At 41.6% G+C, this 18,438-nt stretch overlaps 2 annotated features.

The window, feature by feature from the left end:
- Positions 1,810–2,410: an enhancer, noted in NCBI's record as "H3K4me1 hESC enhancer chrX:129707281-129707881 (GRCh37/hg19 assembly coordinates)". NCBI's record gives its function as "activates a minimal SCP1, AML or CMV promoter by ChIP-STARR-seq in primed H9 embryonic stem cells {active_cell/tissue: H9 hESC(primed)}" and the evidence as "EXISTENCE:reporter gene assay evidence [ECO:0000049][PMID:30033119]".
- Positions 2,411–3,011: an enhancer, noted in NCBI's record as "H3K4me1 hESC enhancer chrX:129706680-129707280 (GRCh37/hg19 assembly coordinates)". NCBI's record gives its function as "activates a minimal SCP1, AML or CMV promoter by ChIP-STARR-seq in naive and primed H9 embryonic stem cells {active_cell/tissue: H9 hESC(naive and primed)}" and the evidence as "EXISTENCE:reporter gene assay evidence [ECO:0000049][PMID:30033119]".

The following is an 18,438-nucleotide window of genomic DNA, read 5'->3' as shown; positions in this document are numbered from 1 at the left end:
TTGCCTTAAATGTAATAGATCCCTTCCACTGATTTGCCAGGGTGCACAAAATTCTTTTCATTAGCATAGCCCTGTAGAACCTCCTTGGATTAAGCTTCAAGAGCTTCTGAGGGCTTCCATTTCCTTTAGTGACAGGCTAGGTTATTCGGATGAACCCTCCTGCCAAAAATAACAAAAAATGCTCCATAAAACACAGAAACATTCCCTCCCTTTAAAATATTTACATGATTAAAAGAGACGGGAGAATCTCTTGAACCTGGGAGGCAGAGGTTGCTGTGAGCCGAGATCGTGCCACTGCACTCCAGCCTGGTTGACAGAGGGAGACTCTGCCTCAAAAAAAAAAAAAAAAAAGATAATGTGGGAACTGCCAGGTCAAATTTCCCAGAGAAGTAAGCTGAATATCAGTACACCAAAGCCACTTGTTATGAAGTGAATGTGTATGTCCCTCACCCCAAAATTCATATGTTGAAATCCTAACCCTGAATGTGATGGCATTAGGAGGTGGGGCATTTAGGAGGCAATTAGGTCATGAGGGTAGAGCCCTCATGAATGGGAGTGGTGCCCTATAAAAGGGATCCTAGAGAGCTCTCTCTGCTCTCTGCCATATGAGGATACAAGGAGAAGTCAATAGTATTCAACTTGGCAGAGGGCACTCACCAGAAATGATCGTGCTGGCACCCTGATCGCAGACTTCCAAGCTCCAGGACTGTGAGAAAGAAATTTCTGTTGTTTAATCCACCCAGTCTATGGCACTTTGTTATAGCAGCCCAAATGGACTGAGGAACTACTTTTACTCTGTGAATATTTGCTGGTACTGAATACTTTAAGCATCAGTTCTACGGCCTCAAGGGGCAAGGTGCAGAGAAGTCAAGGCCCAGGTCCCACTCAAGGTAAGGAGTCCTACAGCAAACCCAATCCACATGAAGTCGAGCCTCTAAAGGGCTCTAAGTTAGGGTAGGGATGAACCACAACTAAAATAGGCCTTCTCTATTAATCAGAGTTTGGTCAGGAAAACAGGAGCCACTCTATGTATTCCAAGTATGAAAGGTTTTAATACAAGGAAACAGAGACCTACATATCTGTTGGAAGAGCTTGGTGAGCAAAAGTCATGGAAGTTGCTGCCAGAGTTCTCAGCCTGCAGTATCAAGGCCAGTGATTCTTACATGCTCACCTGGAAACAAACAGAATCTCAAGAACCTCTAGGTATCTCCCATCAACATAACATATTTCTAACTATTTTCTCTTATAGTGAAAATATCGGTTCCTAAAAACATTAATATAGTTATTTGCTTTATCCTATGATATGCATAAAATGATTTCAAAATAAAATACTATTAACAATAAACAATGAGGAAAGTTAAGATGTCTTTCTGGTTCCTTGTCCTTAGAATTTATCTCACTAAATATCTATAGTCAGAGTGTTGTGTTCAAAAATTACTTGAAACATTAGTTACTCTGCATATATAATTAGGTTATTTGACTGCGTGGTAAAACTCTGGTGGGGCCATCTAGGCCAGAAGTTTCTTTATAGGATATTTTTTTTAATTTTTTAAGCAAGAAAGTTCGAAGAATTATACAATGCAAACCCACATACCCTCTACTTAGATCAACAATTGTTAACATTTTTCCATATTTGCCTTACATAGATAAATAATAGATGTATATATTTTATTTTTGCTGAACTTTTTAAAAGTAAATTGCAGGAATCATGAGTTTACCTCTAAATACTTTAGCATGCATTTCCTACAAATCAGGACATTCTTATGTAAATTACCATTCTGCCTGAAATTTCAAGAACGTTTTGTCCATACTTAAGTAGAGTACAAGAAAGGAACCCTGAATAAATTCTGTAAAATACAAAAGGTAAGAAAACAAATATCTTTTGTGAAGTTTAAGGAGATACACTAGTCATAACTAGAGGAACTGAACTGATATTGAATTTGGACATTTGGGATTGGTTGCTCCAAGCATTCACCTTGTATTAGTCCGTTCTCACACTGCTATAAAGAAATACCTGGGAGGGAGGAGCCAAGATGGCTGAATAGGAACAGCTCCGGTCTACAGCTCCCAGTGTGAGCGACGCAGAAGATGGGTGATTTCTGCATTTCCATCTGAGGTACCGGGTTCATCTCACTAGGGAGTGCCAGACAGTGGGCGCAGGTCAGTGGGTGCGCGCACCATGCACGAGCCGAAGCAGGGCGAGGCATTGCCTCACTCCGGAAACGCAAGGGGTCAGGGAGTTCCCTTTCCTAGTCAAAGAAAGGGGTGACAGACGGCACCTGGAAAATCGGGTCACTCCCACCCGAATATTGCGCTTTTCCGAGGGGCTTAAAAAACGGCACACCAGGAGATTATGTCCCGCACCTGGCTCGGAGGGTCCTACGCCCACGGAGTCTCACTGATTGCTAGCACAGCAGTCTGAGATCAAACTGCAAGGCGGCAGCGAGGCTGGGGGAGGGGCGCCCGCCATTGCCCAGGCTCGCTTAGGTAAACAAAGTAGCCAGGAAGTTCGAACTGGGTGGAGCCCACCACAGCTCAAGGAGGCCTCCCTGCCTCTGTAGGCTCCACCTCTGGGGGCAGGGCACAGACAAACAAAAAGACAGCAGTAACCTCTGCAGACTTAAATGTCCCTGTCTGACAGCTTTGAAGAGAGCAGAGGTTCTCCCAGAACACAGCTGGAGATCTGAGAACAGGCAGATTGCCTCCTCAAGTGGGTCCCTGACCCCTGATCCCTGAGCAGCCTAACTGGGAGGCACCCTCCAGCAGGGGCAGACTGACACCTCACATGGCCGGGTACTCCAACAGACCTGCAGCTGAGGGTCCTGTCTGTTAGAAGGAAAACTAACAAACAGAAAGGACATCCACACCAAAAACCCATCTGTACATCACCATCATCAAAGACCAAAAGTAGATAAAACCACAAAGATGGGGAAAAAACAGAGCAGAAAAACTGGAAACTCTAAAAAGCAGGGCACCTCTCCTCCTCCAAAGGAATGCAGTTCCTCACCAGCAACGGAACAAAGCTGGACGGAGAATGACTTTAACGAGCTGAGAGAAGAAGGCTTCAGACGATCAAATTACTCCAAGCTATGGGAGGACACTCAAACCAAAGGCAAAGAAGTTGAAAACTTTGAAAAACATTTAGAAGAATGTATAACTAGATTAACCAAGACAGAGAAGTGCTTAAAGGAGCTGATGGAGCTGAAAACCAAGCCTCGAGAACTACGTGAAGAATGCAGAAGCCTCAGGAGCCAATGCGATCAACTGGAAGAAAGGGTATCAGCGATGGAAGATGAAATGAATGAAATGAAGCGAGAAGGGAAGTTTAGAGAAAAAAGAATAAAAAGAAACGAGCAAAGCCTCCAAGAAATATGGGACTATGTGAAAAGACCAAATCTACGTCTGATTGGTGTACCTGAAAGTGATGTGGAGAATGGAACCAAGTTGGAAAACACTCTGCAGGATATTATCCAGGAGAACTTCCCCAATCTAGCAAGGCAGGCCAACATTCAGATTCAGGAAATACAGAGAACGCCACAAAGATCCTCCTTGAGAAGAGCAACTCCAAGACACATAATTGTCAGATTCACCAAAGTTGAAATGAAGGAAAAAATGTTAAGGGCAGCCAGAGAGAAAGGTTGGATCACCCTCAAAGGGAAGCCCATCAGACTAACAGCGGATCTCTTGGCAGAAACTCTACAAGCCAGAAGAGAGTGGGGGCCAATATTCAACATTCTTAAAGAAAAGAATTTTCAACCCAGAATTTCATATCCAGCCAAACTAAGCTTCATAAGTGAAGGAGAAATAAAATACTTTACAGACAAGCAAATGCTGAGAGATTTTGTCACCACCAGGCCTGCCCTAAAAGAGCTCCTGAAGGAAGCACTAAACATGGAAAGGAACAACCGGTACCAGCCGCTGCAAAATCATGCCAAAATGTAAAGACCATCGAGACTAGGAAGAAACTGCATCAACTAACGTGCAAAATAACCAGCTAACACAATGACAGGATCAAATTCACACATAACAATATTAACTTTAAATGTAAATGGACTAAAAGCTCCAATTAAAAGACACAGACTGGCAAATTGGATAAAGAGTCAAGACCCTTCAGTGTGCTGTATTCAGGAAACCCATCTCACGTGCAGAGACACACATAGGCTCAAAATAAAAGGATGGAGGAAGATCTACCAAGCCAATGGAAAACAAAAAAAGGCAGGGGTTGCAATCCTAGTCTCAGATAAAACAGACTTTAAACCAACAAAGATCAAAAGAGACAAAGAAGGCCATTACATAATGGTAAAGGGATAAATTCAACAAGAAGAGCTAACTATCCTAAATATATATGCACCCAATACAGGAGCACCCAGATTCATAAAGCAAGTCCTGAGTGACCTACAAAGAGACTTAGACTCCCACACATTAATAATGGGAGACTTTAACACCCCACTGTCAACATTAGACAGATCAATGAGACAGAAAGTTAACAAGGATATCCAGGAATTGAACTCAGCTCTGCACCTAGCGGACCTAATAGACATCTACAGAACTCTCCACCCCAAATCAACAGAATATACATTTTTTTCAGCACCACACCACACCTATTCCAAAATTGACCACATACTGGGAAGTAAAGCTCTCCTCAGCAAATGTAAAAGAACAGAAATTATAACAAACTATCTCTCAGACCACAGTGCAATCAAACTAGAACTCAGGATTAAGAATCTCACTCAAAACCCCTCAACTATATGGAAACTGAACAACCTGCTCCTGAATGACTACTGGGTACATAATGAAACGAAGGCAGAAATAAAGATGTTCTTTGAAACCAATGAGAACAAAGACACAACATACCAGAATCTCTGGGACGCATTCAAAGCAGTGTGTAGAGGGAATTTTATAGCACTAAATACCCACAAGAGAAAGCAGGAAAGATCCAAAATGGACACCCTAACATCACAATTAAAAGAACTAGAAAAGCAAGAGCAAACACATTCAAAAGCTAGCAGAAGGCAAGAAATAACTAAAATCAGAGCAGAACTGAAGGAAATAGAGACACAGAAAACCCTTCAAAAAAATCAATGAATCCAGGAACTGGTTTTTTGAAAGGATCAACAAAATTGATAGACTGCTAGCAAGACTAATAAAGAAAAAAAGAGAGAAGAATCAAATAGATGCAATAAAAAATGATAAAGGGGATATCACCACTGATCCCACAGAAATACAAACTACCATCAGAGAATACTACAAACACCTCTACGCAAATAAACTAGAAAATCTAGAAGAAATGGATAAATTCCTCGACACTTACACTCTCCCAAGACTAAACCAGGAAGAAGTTGAATCTCTGAATAGACCAATAACAGGATCTGAAATTGTGGCAATAATCAATAGCTTACCAACCAAAAAGAGTCCAAGACCAGATGGATTCACAGCCGAATTCTACCAGAGGTACAAGGAGGAACTGGCACCATTCCTTCTGAAACTATTCCAATCAATAGAAAAAGAGGGAATCCTCCCTAACTCATTTTATGAGGCCAGCATCATCCTGATACCAAAGCCTGGCAGAGACACAACCAAAAAAGAGAATTTTAGACCAATATCCTTGATGAACATTGATGCAAAAATCCTCAATAAAATACTGGCAAACCGAATCCAGCAGCACATCAAAAAGCTTATCCACCATGATCAAGTGGGCTTCATCCCTGGGATGCAAGGCTGGTTCAATATATGCAAATCAATAAATGTAATCCAGCATATAAACAGAACCAAAGACAAAAACCACATGATTATCTCAATAGATGCAGAAAAGGCCTTTGACAAAATTCAACAACGCTTCATGCTAAAAACTCTCAATAAATTAGGTATTGATGGGACATATTCCAAAATAATAAGAGCTATCTTTGACAAACCCACAGCCAATATCATACTGAATGGGCAAAAACTGGAAGCATTCCCTTTGCAAACTGGCACAAGACAGGGATGCCCTCTCTCACTACTCCTATTCAACATAGTGTTGGAAGTTCTGGCCAGGGCAATTAGGCAGGAGAAGGAAATAAAGGGTATTCAATTAGGAAAAGAGGAAGTCAAATTGTCCCTGTTTGCAGATGACATGATTGTATATCTAGAAAACCCCATTGTCTCAGCCCAAAATCTCCTTAAGCTGATAAGCAACTTCAGCAAAGTCTCAGGATACAAAATCAATGTACAAAAACCACAAGCATTCTTATACACCAATAACAGACAAACAGAGAGCCAAATCATGAGTGAATTCCCATTCACAATTGCTTCAAAGAGAATAAAATACCTAGGAATCCAACTTACAAGGGATGTGAAGGACCTCTTCAAGGAGAACTACAAACCACTGCTCAAGGAAATAAAAGAGGATACAAACAAATGGAAGAATATTCCATGCTCATGGGTAGGAAGAATCAATATCGTGAAAATGGCCATACTGCCCAAGGTAATTTACAGATTCAATGCCATCCCCATCAAGCTACCAATGACTTTCTTCACAGAATTGGAAAAAACTACTTTAAAGTTCATATGGAACCAAAAAAGAGCCTGCATCACCAAGTCAATCCTAGGCCAAAAGAACAAAGCCAGAGGCATCACACTACCTGACTTCAAACTATACTACAAGGCTGCAGTAACCAAAACAGCATGGTACTGGTACCAAAACAGAGATATAGATCAATGGAACAGAACAGAGCCCTCAGAAATAACGCCGCATATCTACAACTATCTGATCTTTGACAAACCTGAGAAAAACAAGCAATAGGGAAAGGATTCCCTATTTAAGAAATGGTGCTGGGAAAACTGACTAGCCATATGTAGAAAGCTGAAACTGGATCCCTTCCTTACACCTTATACAAAAATTAATTCAAGATGGATTAAAGACTTAAACGTTAGACCTAAAACCATAAAAACCCTAGAAGAAAACCTAGGCATTACCATTGAGGACATAGGCATGGGCAAGGACTTCATGTCTAAAACACCAAAAGCAATGGCAACAAAAGCCAAAATTGACAAATGGGATCTAATTTAACTAAAGAGCTTCTGCACAGCAAAAGAAACCACCATCAGAGTGAGCAGGCAACCTACAAAATGGGAGAAAATTTTCACAACCTACTCATCTGACAAAGGGCTAATATCCAGAATCTACAATGAACTCAAACAAATTTACAAGAAAAAAACAAACAACCCCATCAAAAAGTGGGTGAAGGACATGAACAGACACTTCTCAAAAGAAGACATTTATGCAGCCAAAAAACACATGAAAAAAAGCTCATCATCACTGACCATCAGAGAAATGCAAATCAAAACCACAATGAGATACCATCTCACACCAGTTAGAATGGCAATCATTAAAAAGTCAGGAAACAACAGGTGCTGGAGAGGATGTGGAAAAATAGGAACACTTTTACACTGTTGGTGGGACTGTAAACTAGTTAAACCCTTGTGGAAGTCAGTGTGGCGATTCCTCAGGGATCTAGAACTAGAAATACCATTTGACCCAGCCATCCCATTACTGGGTATATACCCAAAGGACTATAAATCATGCTGCTATAAAGACACATGCACATGTATGTTTATTGTGGCACTATTCACAATAGCAAAGACTTGGAACCAACCCAAATGTCCAACAACGATAGACTGGATTAAGAAAATGTGGCACATATACACCATAGAATACTATGCAGCCATAAAAAATGATGAGTTCATGTCCTTTGTAGGGACATGGATGAAATTGGAAACCATCATTCTCAGTAAACTATTGCAAGAACAAAAAACCAAACACCGCATATTCTCACTCATAGGTGGGAATTGAACAATGAGAACACATGGACACAGGAAGGGGAACATCACACTCTGGGGACTGCTGTGGGGTGGGGGGAGGGGGGAGGGATAGCATTAGGCGATATACCTAATGCTAGATGATGAGTTAGTGGGTGCAGCACACCAGCATGGCACATGTAGACATATGTAACTAACCTGCACATTGTGCACATGTACCCTAAAACTTAAAGTATAATAATAATTAAAAAAAAAAGAAATACCTGAGACTGGGTTATATATGATAAAAAAAAAAAGAGTTTTAATTTGCTCACTGTTCCACAGCTGTAGAGGTAGCATGACCGGGGATTTCTCAAGAAACTTTCAATCATGGCAGAAGGCGAAAGGGAAGCAGGCATATCTTATGTGGCTGGGGCAGGAGGAAGAGAGCAAAGTGGGAGGTGCTACACACTTTTAAACAACAAGATCTCATGAGAACTCAGTTACTATCATGAGAACACCAAGGGGGAAACCTACTGCATGAGCCAATCACCTCCCACCAGGCCCCTTTTCCAATATTGGAGCTTAAAATTCGACATGAGATTTGAGCAGGGACACAAATCCAAACCATATCACACCTAGATGTGGTGTTTGAGAACTGGATCCCTAGAATCTGAATCTGACACTAGAGCATGGTGCTTTAGGTAGCTTCCCAAACCTTTCCTCACCTCACACCCCCACACACAAAAAACATTGGAAAGTTAAGCATGAGAGAATGTTTGGGAGGACCTAAGGACAAAGTCCCACCTCTACGAGTGGGCTGTACTGATGTCCTTACTCCTAGTGATGTGCAAAGGTCTCTTTCAGCTTTACAATTCAGTATTTTCATGATACTCTGATTTGGGATTCAGATCTACCTCCACATAACATGGAAGGTGTGTTAAGCTTAAACATAATGCAAAAATAGGACAAAACATGAAAGCAGTATAGAGACCATTAAGGAAGCAAAGAGACTCGTACTTAAAAACCACAGGAGTCAAGGTAACATTTTCAGAAGAGTAAGACACGTTGAGGTATTTGAAAGCCATCACTGATTTCCAGCTAAACAAACACCGGTGCCTCTCTCTCTCTCTTTTTTTTCTTCTGCAGAAGAAGGTTTTGAACCGCTGGCCCCAGGACCACACTGCCTATGCTACAATCTTTGCTAGCACAATGGACGGCCTGTGTTCTGCTTTCAACTCCTATGAATCTAGAAACTGGAATTTGGAGCCAACGGTTGAAGTGGCAGCTTCCTGATTCCTCACTATTCTGACTATGGCAGAGGCATGTGTGGGTTACTTTTATGACATGTGTATCAACTACCCAGTGTTACAACAATCCTGTGTGACAAATCACCCCGAAACTCAGTGGCAAAAAATCAATAACCACTCATTTGTTATCATGAGCCTCCAGATCAGCTGAGCAGTTCTTCTGATCTTGGTTGGGCCTGGCTGGATAGTTCTGGTCTCAGCTGAGCTCACTTCACACACCTGGCAGTTGGCTGTCAGCTGAAGCAACTGGGGTCACTGGGCCACATGTTTCTCATTATTCAAAAGTCTAGTCCATGCATGCTCTTATGGTGAAGGCAGAGGAGCAAGGGGGAAAGTAGACAGGTGCAAGCAAGCAAGAAAGTGCTTTTCCAGGCCTCTGCCGGCATCAAGTTTGCTGTTGTCTCATTGGCCAAAACAAGTCACAAGGGCAAGCCAGAGTCTAGACTATATAGCCTAGATGTTGATTGTCTCCAGGTGTGACTTCTGTTTATTTTGCCCCACGCTAACCTTGAAGTAACAATCAGCACTTAGCTGGATCCCTAAATAGCAAATCCTCTCCACAAAGCACAGGTAAGCAGGGCAGATTTAGCTGGCAATTCTGTAGAGAAATGAGGGTTTATATAGAAAACCAAACAGCAACCGCATTGATACAAAATCTCCATTAGACACCTTTGTCTTGAGTTTCTCTGTCACTCTCTCTCCCTTTCCTTTTCTGCTTTCCTTTCCCCAGCCATGAACTAATTTATCTCCCCCTCCCTCTTTTATGCAGAGCAGTTGATTCTATTCAGGCAGCTCCAAATTTGCATCAATCACACTCAACCCATCAATAATGGACTAACTAGTGATTGGAATTCACCGTTCTTAGAAGGTAGTGAGACTGTACATAGCAATATTTTCCTGTTGCAATAGTAAATGTATTTTTCTATTCCCATCCAAAAGAAAAAAAAGTCATGTGGCTCCCTTGCTTAAAACCCATCATTTGTTCTCCCTCTCTTATAGATTAAACTACAAACTCCTCAGTGTGGCATAGCAGGCCCTCCATGATCTACCCCTCCCTGCTTCTCTATCTTCATGTCTTCCAGCGGCCCCTTCTTATACTAGGCTGGAGACACACAGAAGCATTTGCACCTATCCAAATGGGCCAGACTACTTCAACCCTCCACGCTTTTGCTCCTGTTGGTCCCTCTACCCCAATCTATCTGTCCCCTCCACCCCAATCTATCTGACTAGTGAACGCTTAGTCACTCCTTCTCTATAGAGCCTTTTGTGAATCTCTGTGGTAGAACTGACCTCTTTCCTCACCTATGGCCCTACCATACATTAAGACACTTTAGATCACTTACATATTTCCTGCTACAACACTGTGAGCTCTTGAAGGGGAGAGAACACAGCTTTTCATCTCTGTATCCCCAGTGCCAGGCATATAGCAAATGACTAAGTTAATCAATTTTGAGGTTGGGTTGTAAAAGGAATTTCATAACTGTTTTGTACATCATTTAAATTATTATATAATCCCACAGTGACTACTTTGAAGACAAGAACATTAATTTGAGAGATTATAAATTCTGGCAAGTTGTTAAAAACCAGTCACATTAACTTTATGTTCACTTTTCATACGTATCCTCAAAGACATTACCAAGTATTGAATTAGGGGACACTTTGCTTTCACTTTTGGGGGCATATAAATCAAGATAGGCCAGGTTATGTTGCAATAACAAACAATTTCAAGATCTCAGTGGGTTAAAAGAGAAGGAGCTTGTCTCTTTCCCACACAGTCCACTGCAGGTCTAGTTGACTGTCAAGGGCAACTGTCCTTCTCCACTTGGTGGCTCTGCATTGCACCTCCATTATCAGTAAGTTCTCCCTATTTGATAAGTCAGAGGAAAAGAGCACTGGAGAGTTCACAACCAATAACGTTTCCACCTAGAAGCATTTTTCATACTTTATTTGCCAAGGAAAGTCACGTGGCCACATCTAACTTCAAGAAAGGAGAAAAGTTTAGTCCTATTCTGAGCCCAGGAGGAAAGGGATCATCAATATTGGTGAGACTGGGCACAGTGGCTCACACCTGTAATCCTAGCACCTTAGGAGGTCGAGGTGGGAAGATTGCTTGAGCCCAGGAGTTTGAGACCAGCCTGGGCAACATAGAAAGACCCTGTCTCTAAAAAACTTTTTAAAAAATTAACTGAGAATGGTGGCACATGTCTATAATCCCGGCTACTCAGCAGGCTAAGGTGGGAGGATTCACTTCAGCCCAGGAGATTGAAACAGCAGTAAGCCGTGTTTGTACCACTGCACTTCAGCCTGGGCGACAGAGCAAGACTCTGTCAAAAAAAAAAAAAAGTGGTGAGCAGCACTAACACATCTTCCACTGTAGACTGAATTGTGCCCCCAACCAAAATTCATATGTTGAAGACCTAACCTTTAATGTGATGGTACTAGGAGGTGCAGCCTTTTGGAGGTAATTAGGTTTAGATGAGGTGAGAAGGATGGTACCACCATGATGGGATTTGAGTCCTTATTTAAAAAAGAAGAAAGACCAGAGCACTATGGGACCCAATCCAGGCAATCTAGGCTGCCTGTTGAACTATGAGCCCAGTTCATATGTGTTAACTCAGTCTCACGCCTCCCAATATCTCTGCATTTTTATTTATTGTCCCTTTATCAAGCACCCACTAGATGCCATGCCCTGTGCTGGGTGCGTTCCTGTCCACTAGCTCAGTGGATTCTCATAACTACCCTAAGATATAGCTCCTCTCATTACCCCCATTTGCCAGGTATGGAGAATGAAGCTGACAGAGATTAAGTGGCTTGAACAAGGTCATAGTAAGTAGTAGAACCAAGAACCAAGTCTGTAATTCACTGAATCCTGCATTGTGTCCATTGCACTACACACATCCTTCTGCCCAAAGCCAGACTCTCTGACTCTGCTTTCAGCCCTGCCTCCTCTCAGCTCCCCAGCTGCTCACTCCATTAATTATTCACCACTTCTACTCACTGGCTTCCTGGAGCCCTCAGTCTCTTCTGTACTACCCCCTTCCTGTCAATCATTCAGAATTACTTAGTATCCCCCATCCCAAATTAGTTTTCTTCAACCAAACAGAGATCTCCCCTGTCCTCTCTGTCCAGTCTCTACGAAACCGTTGCATCCACCTGTGCTCTGTTCTCTCAGCTTTAGTCCTCTACTGTCTGTCCTCAGCCCTCACCATTCTGCCAGTTGCAACTACTCTAAAACGTCCCAGGTAACCAAATCCAACATCTAGGCACTTCCATGTGACCCTGTCTACAGCAGTGACTCAGTGGCAATGAACACACTTGGTGCTGCCCCTTCACCCTGGAAGCTTCTTCCCTGTCACATCCTCCAGGGCATTGCACTCCTCTGATCATTCTTTCTGTCTCCACTGGCCCCTTTGCCTCGTTCTCTCTCCTTACGTGGGCATTCTCCCAAGTTCTGTTCTCAGTTAGTCCCCTCCCCCCACCCGCTTCCCTTTCCTTCCCTTCCCTTCCCTTCCTTTCTGCTATAGACTGAACTGTGTCCTCCACCACCATCTCCCAAATTCATATGTTGAAGCCCTAACTCCCAATGTGATGGTACTAGGAGGTGAGACCTTTGGGAGGTAATTAGCTTTCGATAAGATCATGAGGATGGAGCCCTCATGATGGAATTAACGTCCTTCTAAGAAGAAGAAGAGAGATCAGAGTTCGCTTTCTCTCTTTCATATGAGGACACAGCAAGAAGGTGGCTGTCTGCAATCCAGACAGAGCACCCTCACTAGGGAGCAATTGACTAGCACCTTGATCTTGGACTTCCCAGCCTCCAGAACTGTGAAAAACAAATTCATGTTGTTTAAGCCCCATAGTCTATGGTATTTGGTTATGGCAGCCCTGGCTGACCAAGACAACTTCCGTCTCATTTTCCTTTTGCTCTCCTCTCCTCTTTCTTACCCTACCCCTCATTATCTTCCTCAGTGACCACATCTACTACTGGAGCTTCAACTATTACCATTATATAAACATTCACATGATGTATTTGCAGTGCAACCTTAGACAAGTTAATTTACCTGAGACATAGTTTCTTCATGTATAAAATGAGAGCAAATGCATTTTATAATGAGCTATTGAATGCAGAACAATTTGTACAGTTTGTGGCATGCAGTACGTGCTCAATATATGTGGAGTTTTTTTGGATGCCTGAGTAGATAGAGTCAGTGGAGAGGAAGCGGTCGAAGGTAAGGTAGAAAGACAGTTTTGAGGATTTGGCACAGTCTTGGACTCTGGCACCAGTTAAACCTCAGTTGAATTCCAGTTCCACCACTTACTAAATTTGCAACCATGGGCAACTTTCTTAGTTTCTTTGAGCATTAGTTTTCTTATCTGTAAAATCAAGATACTTAAGTGTAGATTTCTCAGACATGCATTTAACTACCCCTCCCCCCAATAATCTGGCCTCACTGAACATTTTCAGTTTCCTGTCCCATTCCTGTTAAATGATATTTAACCAAATATCTGAGCACCATGACTCAGCCAAGCTGATATGTAAAATTAACCATCACACCCACATACAGCCAATGTGTACTGAGCACTCATTATAATGATGAACTAACCTGGTCTTGTTCAGAAAGCTACGTAGCCTACTAGAAATCTAATATTTTCCTAGAAAATATATATGTATATGCCATATGTTCCAGCCAAACCAGACTACTCAAGGTTCTGTATGAAGAATTGAATAATTATAATCAAATTGAATTCTTACAAGGTGACGTGGTATAGTAGAATCAAACAAACCTGGGTTTGAATCCCAGCTCTGCTGCTTACTAGCTATGAAACCATGTGCAGATTATTTACCCTCCACAGGCCTCAGCTTGCTTACACACAGAAAGAAAACAATAATAATAATAATAATAAAACCTGTCTCAGCACCTGAAACTGTAGTAGCAGGACCTACAAAGCCTTTGATAATCTGGCCCCGCCTAATTCTCCAGCTTCATCATTCACCTTCCTATGCTCATGTCTAAGTTTCAACCTGCAGAACTCTTTGTAGTTTTCCCAAAGGCCAGGCTCTTCCTCATCTCTGGTTATTCATTATACAAACTACTCCTTCTGCCTGAAATGTCTTCCCCTCCCCCACTATTTTTTTACCTAACTCCTAATTATGCTTTAGATCCCAGCCTAAATGTCACTTCCTCCAGGATGCCTTCTCTGTCCCACCCCAGCCCATGTTAAGTAGCTCTTCTCTGTAATCACATATGATAACACTCAAGCTCCCACATTACAGCTTCTGTATATGTTTCTGTGTCCTCAATTAGGTTGTGAGATCTATGAGGGCAGAGGCCACAGCTGCTCCAATACCACCCCCACAGTGAAGGCACCTCTGGACACTAATCTAGGGTAGCACTCTCTGCCACTCTATGTATTACTGTATTTCAGTTTCTTCATAATCCTAATCATTGTCTGGAATTATTATATTTGCTTATTTATTTGTTTGTTCTTTGTCTTTCTCACCAGTGTGTAAAATCTATGAGAAAAGGGACCATATCTGTCTTGTTCCCCACAAATTTTCAGCTTCTAGAAAATGACCCAAAACACAGTAGGATTTGTGTGCAGTTGGGCTTAGGAAATGTAGAAAGCAGAGGGAATACTGTTCCAGTTTAAGAAAAGTCACATGCAGAGGTGTTTCATACAATTTATTCAGAGCATAAGAGTATAAGGACAGAGAGGACAGAAAAACTGTGGACAGCTTGGAATGCCAGACCAAGGCATTTTTACTTAGCCTGGTGGACAGAGGCAGCCATGGAGAGCTTTTGCACTGCGGAGTAACATAAGGTGTAAAGCATGTACAGCTGTACAAATATATTGGAAGCATAGGCACCAATAAAATGAGCAGAGAGTATTCACCATTTCCCCCTTTGGAAAGCAAAAGATTAACCACTGTATTAGTCAGCATTCCAAAACAGAACCAACAGGATGTGTATACAAATATACACACAGAGAAAGAAAGGGAGAGAGGGGTGGGGGGCGGGGAGAGAGAGAGAGAGAGCGAGAGACGGGGGGGGCGGGGGGAGAGAGAGAGAGAGAGAGATTGCAAGGAATTGGCTCACATGTGATTATGGAGGATTGGTAAGTTCAGAATCTTCAAGGCAGGCCAGCAGGCTAGAGACCCAAGGAAGAGTTGATGTTGCATTTCAAGTCCAAAGGCAGTCTGGAGATAGAATTCTTTGTTGTTCAGGGATGATCAGTCTTTGTTCCTTTAAGGCCTTCAACTAATTGGATGAGGCGCACCCACATAAAGGAGGATAATCTGCTTTACTCAAAGTCTACTGATTTAAATCTTAGTGTCACCCAAAAACACCTTCACAGGGCTGGGCGTGGTGGCTCATGCCTATAATCCCAGCACCTGGGGAGGCCGAGGCGGTTGAGGTCCGGAGTTCGAGACCAGCCTGGCCAGTATGGTGAAACCCTGTCTCTACTAAAAATTCAAAAAATTAGCCGGCCGTGGTGGTGGGCACCTGTAATCCCAGCTACTCGGGAGACTGAGGTGGGAGAATCACTTGAACCCAGGAGGCAGAGGTTACAGTGAGCCAAGATTGCACCACTGCACTCCAGCCTGGGCACTACAGAGCAAGATTCCTTCTCAAAAAAACAAACAAAAAACAAAAAACACCTTCACAGAAATATTCAGAATGATATTTAACCAAATATCTGAGCACCATGACTCAGCCAAGCTGATATGTAAAATTAACCATCACACCCACATACAGCCAATCTGTACTGAGCCCTCATTACAGTGATGAACTAACCTGGTCTTGTTCAGAAAACTATGTAGCCTACTAGAAATCTAATATTTTCCTAGAAAATTCTAATTTATATTTTAAAAGTAGAAATACCATCCATGACTTCCCTAAACAAGCCCTTTTGCTGTTTCTTTGTCAGATATATTAATTAACCTTGCAAGGAGAGTCTCTACCAACCCTTGCCATTTCAGAAGTAATTTAGTTTCTATGTGTCTGGGTCTTTTTGAGTTTTCATCATTAATTGTTTGAGTATATGTGGTGGGACTGGGGAGAGTGGCAGGGTAGGGGCAGAGAGAGCAATGTGCTTGGAGAAGGATACACATGAGGCTACGGCTGTATTTGTAATACATCTTGCAATATACCTTGAAACTTCATAGTGAGTGCATTTATGCTTGCTATCTTATTCTTTTTTAACTTTAAAATGTTTGGAATTTTTCATAGGTTTAAAATCTGAGGCTCAGTGAATTTAGGTCACATTTCTAAAGTCACACATTCAAACCTACATCTGGGTGTTGCCAAAGCTCATGTTGTATTCATTCAGCACCACGGTGCCCATTAGCAATGTCCGTTCGTAAAGTTCCACCAATATTCACCGTTGATTGCTTCAGTCATAGCCAGATAACTAACCCTTGTTTCTTCTCCTTGATCTCAATGCAGTCTTCATAGCATGCTGTTAGCCATCTAACTTTCAGTAGCATTCCAAACACAGCTCTGGGAAAACACCATCAAGAGGATTAAAAACAATGATCCCTGTTTATGAAACTTCCCAAGCATCTATCATGAAATCTGCTCTTAGTATTACCAGTGTAGATTACACTGCATGTGTAATGACAATTCTTAGTAACCGTACCAGTGCCAGGGTGGAGAAGAGGGTTGTTGTTAGTATGATTTCTTGGCTCTGATGCTGGCAAAAAAAAAAAAAAAATCAGCCCTGGATCCTATCACTGTCCTGTGAGATTACAGTGACAGCTGTATCAGCAAGGCAACAATATTAATATAAAGGACCTTATGTTAGCCAGGCCCAGATGCATAAGCTTGAAAGAAATATGAGGGAACAAAGGCATACCTGGAGAGCGCCACACAAGTAGGGGACTTATAACAGTCCTCAAAAACTATAACTATGCCTAGAAGAACACCACTGGCCAGCACATCTACCCTATGCAGCCATAAACCAAAGCATGTTCCTCAAAAATTTTCCAAGTCTCAGAATAAGCACAAGCAACGAAACGACAATAAAATGATCTTACAGTTTCAGTAGAAGGTGTATGGTTAATTTTATGTGTCAACTTGACTGGGCTAAGGGATACCAAGATGGCTGATAAAACAGTATTTCTGGGTGTGTCTGTGATGATGTTTTTGGAAGAGATGAGCATTTGATCTTCATAAAGACCACCCTCACCAATGCAAGAGGGCATCATCCAATTCGCTGAGGGCCCAAATAGAACCAAAAAAGTAAAGGAACGGTGAACTCACTCTTCATGTCCTTGAGCTGGGACATTCATCTTCTCCTGCCCTCAGCCATCAGCTCCCCTGGTTCTCAGGCTTTCAGATTTGGACTGAATTACACTACCAGCTTTACTGGGCCTCCATCTTGCAGACAGCAAACTGTGAGACTTATCAGCCTCCATGATATGTACATATATATAGGAATATATATATATAGGAATATATATAGGAATATGTGCATATATATATATATATATATATATATATATATATATATACACACAGAGAGAGAGAGAGAGAGAAATCTATCATGAAATCTGTCAAGCATCTATCATGAAATCTGGTCTGAGTATTACCAGCGTAGATTAACACTGCATGTGTATTGACAGTTCTTAGTGACTGTACCAGTGCCAGGATGGAGAAGAAGGTAGTCGTTAGTATGAATTTCTTGGCTTTGATGCTTGGCAAAAAAAAAATCATATATATATATATATATATATATATATATGAGGCTCAGTGAGTTTAGGTCATATTTCATATGGCCTAATACGAATATAATATATGATATTATATATATGTATATATATATGTATATATATGTATATATATGTATATATGTATATATATGTACATATATATGTGTGTGTATATATATGTATATATATGTATATATGTGTATATATATATGTATATATGTGTGTGTGTATATATATATATATATATATATATATATATATATATATATATATTCCTGTTGGTTCTATTACTCTGGAGAACCCTGACCAGTACAGATGGCATAGACAACAATTAACACTGATACCACCGACATTTGACTTGGTTCCCAAGTACAAACATAATATAATTTAAGGCAAACAATTCTTGTGTGCTGGATACATGTTCTCTTGACAAATTTCTCTCTCTGGCCTTAATATGTACCTCTTGGGGATAACAAAACTATCCATGGTGGTATATTAGTTTCCTAGGGTTACTGTAACAAAGTGCCACAAACCAGGTGGCTTAAAACAAAAGAAATGTATTGTCTCACAGTTCTGGAAGCTGGAAGTCCAAGATCAAGGTGTCTGCGGGGCCAGTGGTTCTTGGGGGAAGGTTTGGGG

Source organism: Homo sapiens, chromosome X (genome assembly GCF_000001405.40).
Source record: "Homo sapiens chromosome X, GRCh38.p14 Primary Assembly".
NCBI classification, from domain to species: Eukaryota; Metazoa; Chordata; class Mammalia; order Primates; family Hominidae; genus Homo; species Homo sapiens.
Note: the sequence above shows the minus strand (reverse complement) of the source record. Positions and strands in the feature narration are given on the sequence as shown.